Genomic DNA, 12,273 nt, shown 5'->3' with positions numbered 1-12,273 from the left:
TTTGGACAAGTTACTTCACTTCTTTGATCTTTACTTTTCCACCATTTAACAAACATTTATTATTTATTAAGTTGGGACTTGAAATTTACTCTTAAAATAAGAAGAACCTAATCTGTTCACTTATAAGACAAAAAAAGCAAAACAAAAAATACTTAGTGATATAACCTTGTAAGAATCTATTAAGGTTTAATCAAACTATTTTAATTTTTTTCCGAAGTATCAAGCTGAAAATTCAACAAGAAGTTGGGGCCTTTCATCTCCATATATTTTTCTTTAAATTTTTTTTTATTTCAATAGCTTTGGGTTCATCAATTTTTAATGCTTGTCTATAACTGCAGATTTCAAATTTATGACATTTGTGTATTACTTAGGCTACATGCATGTTGTTGTTAAGAAAGGAAAATACAGTAATTTCTATTATAATTTTTATCTCATTTCTAATAACAGTTCATACATTTGATACACTAAATCATGTCCTGTTTTTATTTTGTTATGGTTGAAGGTATTCAATGATTTGTAAGGCTTTTTTCCAACTTGCTAGAGCACATTTAAAAAATGTGAATCCCAGAGGGCATGCTATTGAATTTCTCAGCAGAAGTCATTGTTTTGTAACACGTTCTTTAGGAGATTATTCTTCAGGGATCAGGATGTGCCCATCTCATAGCAGTTCTGCTGTAGATAATAATGTTCTGATAAGACTGTATGTAGATCCCTCTAAAGATCTGTTTTTATATCTTTTTTATACCAGGAAGTATATAATTTTTCTCTCTAGGTCAGCCAAAGCACTGACTGTTTTGGGAAAACTTATGTCCCTTGTTAAGCGTGGAAAGCATTACTATTTATGTTAGAGATTGGTGACATCGGTGTACTTCATGAAAGCTCTATGAAACAATCAAGACAAATGCAGAGAATGACTTTTCTTCTTTACCTTAAGTAGTGTTATTCTGCTTTCTTTGTTTTACATGTATAACAAAATGTAAAAATAATTATCCATCAAGTGATATATTAATGTATTTATCCTCAAAAGGAAAAGTTTTGTATGTGAGAGTTATGCATAAAAAATAATTAAAATGGAAATTTTACTAAAACCCCCAAAGTGAGGATGACTGGGACCATGGGATAACTTCATAGTAATAAAGACCCTTCTTTGGAAATGCCTCTTCACAGAGAACAATAGGCATGTGATACTAATGGCTATAAGGGGACTGCAGAATCATGAACTTTTTGCCAGATCCTTCTAATTTCGAAGCTATTCCTTCATTGGAAGTCTTTGAAAGTAAATTAAGTCACCTTGGTCACTAGCTCTGGGAATTGTTATCCCAGATATGAATAAAAAGCAATACAACATTTGAAAACTTGCTGTCTCTTGGGGCCTGTTTCCTCATCTTTCTAAATAAGAAGGAATAATAAACTACTTTAAGTTATAATGATATTATAGAAATAAATATTTATAAAGTGCTTTGATGGAGAACAAAGGAAGATGATATGAAATGCCAACTACTGGTATTATTTAATTACATTCAGCACCTAAATCAGAAAGATTAAATAATGGTTGGCATAACAACTATTCTGCTTCACCTCAGTAAGTAATTTTTGTGAAGTGTTGATTAGTATGTTCTTAATTCATATGAATTTAGCTATTACAGTCTGCTCTTGAACAATGGCGGATGGAGGGGAGGGTTATGGGTGCTAACTCCCACACAGTTGAAAATCTGCGTATAACTTTTGACTCCCCCAAAACTTAACTACTAATAGCCTACCGTTGACTAGCAGTTTTACCAACAACAGAAACAGTCAATTAACACATATTTTTATGTTACATGTATTATATACTGTATTCTTAGAATAAAGTAAACTAGAGAAAAGAAAATCATAAGGAAGATAAAAATACATTTCCAGTACTATACTGCTTTTATTGATCCCATAAGTTTATGTCATCTGCTTACAAGTTGACTCCTTTGTCTGAAATGGTGGGCAACTGCAGCTGCAGACCTCAATCTACAATACACATCAAGCGATTCAACCTTTTCTTGTAATGTCATGACTTTTCTCTGTTTCTTGGGACCACTTCCAGCATCACTAGTAGCACTTTGTATGGGTTTGATGGTGTTATTCAACGTTTACAGTATTGCACTAAACATGATGAAAAATATGTGAGAACCACAAGAGATCGCTTTTTACTGTGACAGCAATTTACCAGAGAGACAAACTGCTCATTTGGAGATATCAGTGTCACACTGCACTTTAAGCGGATCCTCACGACACTTGAACTCACCGTAGCAGCAACTGAAGATGGCTACAAAATTATTACAGTAGTATATGTAGTATGTACTATAGTTAATTTTATGCAGTTATGATTGAATACTGCAGCTTTACATTTGTTTACATTTCTCACTACAACGAATGGTGCCATGTATGGTATGTAAATGTTTCTGTGCATTAGTTTTGATAAATTTTAACTTTCTGTAATACATTTGTATACATTTTATGGTAGTAAATGATAAAATAGACTACTATTTACATATATTTTATGCATTCACAACATACTTAACTTTTTTTTTTGATACTTTTGACTACATGGTTCATCTGCAAGTTTTTTCAAATTGTCACACATCTCCAAAAATTTTTCCAATATATTTATTTTAAAAATTCATGCATAAGTGGACCCATGCAGTTCAAATCCCTGTTGTTCAAGGGTCAGCTGTAATGGTTTCATTTACTTGGATAGAAAACAAAGCTCGTTACAAAGCTACATAAAGTCATGACTTGAAGGATTGCTACAAATGTTTTTGAGTTCTGTTTCCCAAAGAGATTCTTAGTTCAAATTAATGGTATATTTGTATCTTCATGCCACTACAACTATTTTAAGCAGAAAGTAGGTTTAAAGCTAAACTATTTTTATTTCTTGTATTTTAGAATTTAGTTTATACATTAAATTTAAAGCACTTGAACTTGCTAAAATGAAGTAAATTAATTTTACAGCTATATCATTATTATTTCTAAGTCCATCCATTCAGTCTTCTGAGTGGGTTAATGATATAAATGTAATCTAGTAGCATGAATAAGATTGGACAATCCCCACAAAGAAGACTGAGCAAAAAGTTCATGATGCCTGATCACTAAAATTCCAGAGAGCATTAGACTACTAAATTTAAAAATTTTCAATAAGTATTAAGAATAAAAATAAAATGATTTATTAATAAAGTATTATTTATTTTAAAATTATTTACTTAATTGATTTATTTTAAAAACTGTGGAAGTAATAAGTATTTATTTTATCATACACAAACATTGCAGGAGCACACAGAATAGGAAGCAAACATTCCCTATCCCACATAGTAAATATGCTTGAACATGAATGTTGGCACTTGGTATGTATAATTCTGTAGGAAACAGCTTGAGGCAGAGATAGCTGGCTGTTCCTAATATTTTTCCCCCTTTTCTACTCTTTTAGAACTTTTAGTGGGGCATATAGTTGTCCAGAATGAAGACTTCATTTCCCAGCCTGCTTTGTTTCTTTTTATGGCCACATAACTAAATTATGGACAGTGGATTGCTAACGGAAGTATTTTGTACCAATTTCGAGAAACATTTTTTTTCAGAGACAAATGGCACGTGCACGCTGCTCCTCTTTTCTTCATTTGTTCCTCTGTCCTGCTGCCTGAAATGTGAGTAGTTCCTTGGACCATAAGCATGAGAGTTGTATCTTAGGGAAGAGCTGATAATGACCTAGATCTTTCAGGACATCATGGGCCAGAACCACCAGGGCAGTCTTGGCTTTCTTACCTCCAGACCAGTAGATGAGAAAGACAGAAAGTTCTGTACTGTTTAAATCACACATTCTACTTTTTCCACATTTGCAACCCATTCTAATCTTCACTCATGGAGAGTTCTGAAAGTTTTGGATATATGCAAATATAATTTAAATTTTTGACCGGTGCTTCCAAATTTTCCTTACAAAAATTATTTTACTTCATACTTTACTAAGAGGTCTATGCAAATGCTTTCCCCTCATGAGCTATTATCAGGATTTTAAATATTTTCTGAATAGGTTATTAATGTACTCTCTTTTTCAGTTTCTGCCCCTTTCATTTTATTTTCTTATCTTGCCCTACATTTTTATCATTGTTTCTCTCTCTAGATTCTCTAATTTTTTTTTCTACCTCTGTTGTAACTTTTTTGTCTCCAGCCTCTTTCTTAGCTTTCTCTTTTCTCCAAAGGGCAGATTGGAGTATTATTTTTTCTCTTCCTGAGGATACGCCACCTTGGATCTACTCCCTGGGGCTGGTTCCAGGGGCCTTAAAATCTGAAAAGGGTTCAAGCATACTTAGCAGATGTATTCTTGATGAACTGTGAACCACCACTATTGCGACATGTATATATATCCTCCAAATTTCCAAAATTCAGATTGCTTATGAAAAATGCATACACACAAAATGATTTAAAAAAATAGCAGTCTAGAGCTTGTTACCACCAATTTGTACAAAGCAGGCCTTCATGAGACTTATGAAATCATTCTACTTTTAAAAGAGAGTATTATATACAACTATTTTCTCTATTAATAAATGTGAGTCTTCCATTGCTTGTTATAGTGAAGGAGACTTTCTTTTTTCTTTTTTTTTTTTCTGTTCCTTCCAGAGCAGGGCTAACTCTTAGGCAGTGTGCCAGAGTCAGCCTAAGGAGAATTTTGACTGCTTTCTTTCCCCTGCTCTTCCTAGCAGTAATTCTCCATGTGACATTGTTAGTGTCTAACTCTCTCCAACAATCCCAAGCTGTCATACCCCCAACCTTACTTAAAGAACAGTCCATATACATTTTCTTACCCACAGGTCACCTTCATTTGTCTGCTTAAACTTGACATACTGGCCACAGCTGGTTTCTCCAAGGTTTACATCTGATCCTAAGGCAGCCATCTGGACTTGCCATGGTTACTGAGGCAAGCAGGTTCAAGGGCTTGATAAAAGGAGTCATGTAAGGATTACTCAATTGCACTTTAAAAGTCTGAATGGCACACACTTATAGACACACACATGCATTCAAGGGGCTGGGTAAAGGGAACTCCCAGAAGGAAAGGAATAAGGATGCCTCATGTGATAGCAAGAAGGAGACTGGAGAGAGGATATTAACCATGGCAGGGGAAGTAGACACAGTATAGGGGAAACAGACAGGAGATAAGCTGCCACAGGTGTGCCGTAGTGGAAGTACTAAGCAGAGGATGAGAATGGATGGATAAGACACTACAACTTCTGTGATCTTAAAAAAAAATTCAGTTTTCCAACAGTCCAGCTGTGTACCGTTTGAAAATGTTTTCTGTCTCATCTTCTTTCTCTTGTCCTTACAATAAATCGTACCTACTCAGGTAAATTCGTGTATCTCATCGTAATTGGAAAGAGCCTAACATATTTTTAATGTCCTTGTTTGCATCTTATTAAGCTTGTTACAGAATATATTTCTAGTTTTTTCTGTTGGACTGTGCTCTTGCTCCATCAGGAAACAGTTTCATATTCCTCAGATTCGAGGTAATGATCCTGTCTCCTCAATTCTGTGGTCTTCCTAAAGGACTGTGCTAGGAGAAGAACAAGCAAAAATTAGACATCAAATTGTTTTAAGGCTTGGTAGTTACTTGTTTATTGTTTATTGTGTCACTGGTCTTCATTTAGTTGTTCTAGACATTCTGCCTACTCTCACACAATTTTTATTTTTCTCTTTATGGATCATTCTCATCGGCTTATAAACATATTATTCCTCACATCTGAATAAAACTCTTTTCTTGATTTCACTTTCCCTGTTACTGCCACACCATTTCTTTGCTTTTCTTGGCAAATTGAAAGCATTGCCTATTTTTATTATTTCCAGTTCTCCTTCCATTCTCCCTTAATCTTACTACAATCCAGGTTTTCTTGTTTCCATCACTCCACTAAAACTGATCTCAATAAAGGCATCTGTAACTTCCACATTGCTAAATCCTGTGGTTAATTTTCACTCTGTATTTTATTTGACTTAGCAGCATCACATGACGCAGTTAATTCACCTGGCTTCTGCAAACTCTTGATTTTCCTCCTTCATTTCCTGCTTACTCAAATTTTCTGCTTTCTCCCCTTCTTTGCAATCTTTTAATCATGGGAAAGTTCTGTTCTTAGTTCTCTTTTCAGCCAAGGAGAGAATAGAGTTGTTGTGTTGCGCAAATGCCATGTCAACAATTCAGTTCCCATTAGATTATTCTTTTAATCCAAACAGTGCAGAAGAATGGAAAGTGAGCTCCCCACCCTGGGCCCTTGGTCCCACTTTGTAGTCTTAAAGTGTGGATGTTCTAACAGAAATTTACCATAAATTAATGGATACAAGCCAATACTTGCTGTGCTCTCATGGTCATCTGTGGATATGCACAGAGCAGCAACATATTTGAGTTGCTCGATGTGCTTGTTTGCAGCTGGGCTTGCTCTACCTTCTTGTTCCAGCTCTTATACTGGAAACAAGAGTCCTTTTCAGGGTCTATTTAGTGCCATGTTTTCCTCATTTTTGTGTTTTGGAGGTGATTTTACTGTTTAAAGTGGCCCCAAGCATAGTGGTAGAGTGTGGCCTAGTGTTCCCAGTCATAGGAAGTCTCTGATGTGCCTTGTGGAGAAAATAGATGCATTAGATAAACTTAGTTCAGGCATGAGTTCCACTCCTGTTGGCCATGAGTTCAGTGTTAATGAGTCAACAATGTATATTCAATAAGGTGCTTTAAACAGAAACACATGTAAAAGAAGGCTGTATATTGACCAGTGAGTTGATAAAATGGTGGTGACCAGACACTAGCAGAAATCTAGCCCTAGGGGCGATTTATTCAGTATTTCTGCTAGGAGCAATGATTTAATATTTGCCAATTCAATGTTTCTGGAGACTTTACAGATCATAAGTACTGAGAATGAGAATCAATTGTATTTGCAAATTTGATAGTAACAAATTGACTTCTAAGATGTCTGTAATAATTTATACTCTAATCAACAATATATGAATGGCTATTTGTTTATTCCTTCACTAACAGTGTGTATTAGAAAATGTTAAGTCTTTGTCAGATAGGTTAAAAGGTGTATTACTCTTATTTTAATTTATATATCTTTAATTATGCATATTTATACATATGCATGCGTGTGCACGCACATGTGTGTGTGAGAGACAGACAGAGAGAGAGTGAGAGAGAGAGAGACAAAGGTTTGCTCATATCTTTCACCCATGTTAAAAATTGGGTCCTTGGTGTTTTTCGTTATAGATTTATGAAATCACTTTATATATTGAAGAAATGTATCCTTTATTGGTTGAAGATTTTTTTCTCAATATGTCATTTGTCTTTCAACTTTGATTAAGTTTTTTTGACCATTAAAAACTCTTTATAACACTATATAAAAAGTTTTGAGATACAGCTGGAGATTATGGCAAACAGGAGGCAGGACTAGATTGCAGCCACTTGAACGGACAAAACAGTGTGTGGAGGCTCACATCATGAACTTTTGCTTCAGAACGATTGCAGGAATACGTTAGGAAAGCCAAGAGAACCTACAGAGCCTCTGAAGGAAGCCGACTGCTCCTAAAGGACCCAGGAAACACCCCAAATACTGTGAGTGCCCAAACTGTGGAAGTGGGAAAGGGAGATCGTCTGCCCCCAAACACACACCCCCACTGGGGAACCCTGAAGGTCTAGATGACAGGAGAAGATTCTTACCTTACTTGGAGCTGGGTCAGTTTAGAGAACTGAGAGAAATACAGGGGTACAGGAAGCAGCAGGAAAATCCCTGCGGGCTTGCTGGATCCCCTAGAAGGCCCTTTCTGCCTCGCCTCACAGGTGTCCTTGAGGAGGGCTGCCAGAGGCACTGGGAAAAGGCCACAGGGAGAAGGAAACCTCCAGCTGAACTTTGTAACAATTTGAACCAATCGAGAAGTCTCCTGGCCAGAACTCTGGGGAGGGGGTGAATCTGGCGTACAGACTCCACAGGCAGGGGAAGAAGGAATGCCCTACTTACTTTTGCAGCTGGGAGGTGGGTAGCCTGGGGTAACTTCCTGTTTGCCCACTACCTGGAAACAGACTTGGTGCTGTTGTGGGGGTGGGCATGGTGGGAGTGAGACTGGCCCTTTGGGTTGCTTGGGAGCTGGGTTGGGTGAGGCCTGTGACTGCCAGCTTTTCCCCCACTTCCCTGACAACCCGCATGACACTGCAGAGGCAGTCATAATCCTCCTAAGAACATAACTCTATTGACTTAGGAACCACACCTCCATCCTCCACAGCAACTGCAGCAAGACCCACCCAGTAGAGTCTGAGCTCAGACACGCCTAGTCCTGTTGCCACCTAATGGTCCTTCCCTCACCACCCTGGTAATTGAAGACAAAGGGCATATACTCTTGGGAGTTCTAGGGCCCTGCCCACTGCCCCTTCCTCCTGTACTACCACAGCTGATGCTCTCTTGAAAGTGCCACCTCCTGGCAGGAGGCCAACCAGCACAAAAATAGTCCACTAATCAAAACTAAGGACCCTCACAGAGTCCATTATACCCCCTGCCACATCCACCTGGAGCAAGTGCCAGGATCCATGGCTGAGAGACCCACAGGTGTTTCACATCACAGGACTCTGTGCAGACAACCCCCAGTACCAGCCCAGAGCCTGGTAGACTTGCTGGGAGGCTAGATCCAGTAGAGAGATAACAATCTCTACAGCTTGGCTCTCAGGAAGCCAGATCTCTAGAAAAAGGGGAAGAGCACTACATCAAGGAAACACCCTGTGGGACGAAAGGAACCTTGAGCCCTAGACCTTCCCCCTGACAAAGCCTACCCAAATGAGAAGGAGCCAGAAAATCAGCTCTGGTAATATGACAAAACAGGGTTCTTTACCACCACCCAAAAATGACACTAGCTCACCAGCAATGGATCCAAACCAAGAAGAAATCCCTGCTCTACCTGAAAAAAAATTCAGAAGGTTAGTTATTAAGCAAATCAGGAAGGCACCAGAGAAAGGGGAAGCCCAATGTAAGGAAATCCAAAAAACGATACAAGAAGTGAAGGGAGAAATAGTTAATGAAATAGATAGCATAAATAAAAAACAATCAAAATTTCAGGAAACAATGGACGCACTTACAGAAATGCAAAATGCTCTGGAAAGTCTCAGCAATAGAAATGAATAAGCAGAAGAAAGAACTTCAGAGCTTGAAGACAAGGTTTTCAAAGTAACCCAATTCAACAAAGACAAAGGAAAAAGAATAAGAAAATATGAACAAGACCTCCAAGAAATCTGGGAATATTTTAAATGACCAAACCTAAGAATAATCAGTGTTCCTGAGAAAGATGAGAAATCTAAAAGTTTGGAAAATACATTCGGGGAATAATTGAGGAAAGTTTCCCTGGCCTAGCTAGAGAACTAGACATCCAAATACAGGGAGCTCAACATCTGGAAATTCATCACAAAAAGATCATCACCTAGGCACATTGTCATCAGGTTATCTAAAGGTAAGATGAAAAAAAGAATCTTAAGAGCTGTCAGGCAAAAACACCCAATAACCTATAAAGGAAAACCTATCAGTTTAACAGCAGATTTCTCAGCAAAAATCTTACTAGTTAGAAGGAATTGGGGCCCTATCTTCAGCCTCCTCGAATGAAACAATTCTCAGCCAAGAATTTTGTACCAAGTGAAACTAAGCTTCATAAACGAAGGAAAGATATAGTCTTTCTTAGACAAACAAATGCTGAGAGAATTCGCCACTACCAAGCCAGCACTACAAGAACTCCTAAAAGGAACTCTAAATCTTAAAACAAATCCTGGAAACACACCAAAACAGATCTTCTTTAAAGCATAAATCTCACAGGACCTATAAAACAAAAATACAATTAATAGAACCCCCCCAAAACAAGAAACCAAGGTATATGGGCAACAAATAGCATGATGAATGGAACGGTACTTCACATCTCAATACCAGTGTTGAATGTAAATGGCCTAAATGCTCCACTTAAAAGACACATATTGCAGAATGGAAAAGAATTCACCAACCAACCATCTGCTTCCTTCAAGAGACACATCTAACACATAAGGACTCACATAAACTTAAGAAAAAGGGATGGAAAAAGACATTCCATGCAAATGGACACCAAAAACGAGCAGGAGTAGCTATTCTTTTATCAGACAAAACAAAGTTTAAAGCAACAACAGTTAAAAAAGACAAAGGGTCATTATGTAATGATAAAAGGCCTTGTCCAACAGGAAAATATCACAACCCTTAATATATATGCACCTAACACTGGCACTCCCAAATGTATAAAACAATTAATAATAGACCTAAAAATGAGATAGATGGCAACACAATAATAGTGGGGGACTTCAATACTACACTGACACCACTAGACAGGTCATCAAGACACAAAGTCAACAAAGAAACAGTGGATTTAAACTATACCCTGGAATAAATGGACTTAACAGATATTTACAGAACATTCTACTGAACAACTGCAGAATATACGTTCTATTCAACAGCACATGGAACTTTCTCCAAGGTAGATCATATGAGAGGCTGCAAAACAAGCCTCAATAAATTTGAGAAAATTAAAATTATATCAAGCACTCTGTCAGACCACAGTGGAATAAAACTGAGAATCAACTACAAAAGGAACCTTCAAAACCATGCAAATACATGGAAATTAAGTAACCTGCTTCTGATCATTGGGTCAAAAACAAAATCAGGAGGGAAATTAAAAAATTCTTTGAATTGAATGACCATGGCGACACAACCTATCAAAACCTCTGTGATACAGAAAAGGTGGTACTAAGGGGTAAGTTCATAGCCCGAAACACCTTCATCAAAAAGTCTGAAGGAGCACAGACAATCTAAAGTCATACCTCAAGGAACTAAAGAAACAAGAACAAACCAAACCCAAACCCAGCGGAATAAAGGAAATAACTAAGATCAGAGCAGAACTAAATGAAATTGAAACAAACGAACAAAAATACAAAAGTGAAACAAAAAGCTGGTTCTTTGAAAAGATAAATAAAATTGATAGACCATTAGCAAGATTAACCAAGAAAAGAGAGAAACTTCAAATAAGCTCAGTTAGAAATGAAATGAGAGATATTACAACTGACACCACAGAAATACAAAACATCATTCAACCCTTATGTGCATAAACTAGAAATCCTAGAGGAGATGGATAATTCCTGGAAAGATACAACTGTCGTAGCTTAAGTCAGGAAGAATCAGATTCTCTGAACAGACCAATAACAAGCAGTGAGATTAAATGGTAATAAAAAAATTACCAACATAAAAAAGTCCAGACCCAGATGGATTAACAGCAGAATTCTACCAGACATTCAAAGAAGAATTGGTACCAATCCTATTGACACTATGCCAAAGATAAAGACAGAGGGAACCCTACCTAAATCATTCTATGAAGCTAGTATAACCCTAATACCAAAACCAGGAAAAAACATAACCAAAAAATAAAACTACAGACCAATTTCCCTGATGAACATAGATGCTAAAATCCTTAATAAAATGCTAGCTCACCAAATCCAATAACATATCAAAAAGATAATCCACCATGATCAAGTGGGTTTCACACCAGGGACACAGGGATGGTTTAACATATGCAAGTCAATAAATGTGATACACCACATAAACTGAATAAAAAAAAAATCACATGACCATTTCAATAGAAGCAGAAAAAGCATTCGACAAAATCCATCATCCCATCATGAGTAAAATTCTCAGCAAAATCTGCATACAAGGGACATACCTCAATGTAATAAAAGCTGTCTATGACAAACCCACAGCCAACATAATACCGAATAGGGAAAAGTTGAAAGAATTTCCTCTGAGAACTGGAACAAGACAAGGATGTTCACTCTTACCACTCTTCTTCAACACAGTATTGGAAATTCTAGCCTGAGCAATCAGGAAAGAGAAACAAATAAAGGGCATCCAAATCGGTATAGAGGAAGTCAAACTGTCGCTGTTTGCTGATGATATGATTGTTTACCTAGAAAACCCTAAAGACTCCTCCAGAAAGCCCCTAGAACTGATAAAAAAAAATTCAGCAAAGTTTCTGGATACAGAATTAATGTACATAAATCAGTAGCTCTTCTATACACCAACAGCAACCAAATCAAGAACTCAACCCCTTTTACAATTTTGCAATTTTCAAGCAATTCCCATCAAAATATCACCTTCATTCTTCACAGAATTAGAAAAAAAACCCTAAAATTCATATGGAACTAAAAAAGAGTCTCATAGCTAAAGAAAATCTGGACTAGCTAAA

The 12,273-nt window shown here is 37.0% G+C and overlaps 1 long non-coding RNA gene across 3 annotated transcripts in view; it reads right to left on the bottom strand.

Moving 5' to 3' along the window:
* LOC105379172 (uncharacterized) overlaps window positions 1-8,127 on the bottom strand; it is a 48,658-nt gene extending 40,531 nt beyond the window's left edge. For 2 of the 3 annotated variants that reach the window (XR_948781.2, XR_948780.1), the window contains exons 1-2: window positions 8,004-8,127; window positions 4,824-4,953 (exon numbers count right to left, since the gene is read on the bottom strand). This is a non-coding gene — a long non-coding RNA (uncharacterized LOC105379172). Of the gene's footprint in view, window positions 1-4,823; window positions 4,954-7,705 lie in introns of all 3 variants that reach the window. The other variant, XR_007058928.1, reaches the window with a different exon arrangement.
* Between the last annotated feature and the right edge of the window lie 4,146 nt (window positions 8,128-12,273).

The sequence above is a fragment of the Homo sapiens genome, chromosome 5, assembly GCF_000001405.40.
Source record: "Homo sapiens chromosome 5, GRCh38.p14 Primary Assembly".
NCBI classification, from domain to species: Eukaryota; Metazoa; Chordata; class Mammalia; order Primates; family Hominidae; genus Homo; species Homo sapiens.
This window is presented reverse-complemented; position numbering and strand designations above follow the sequence as displayed.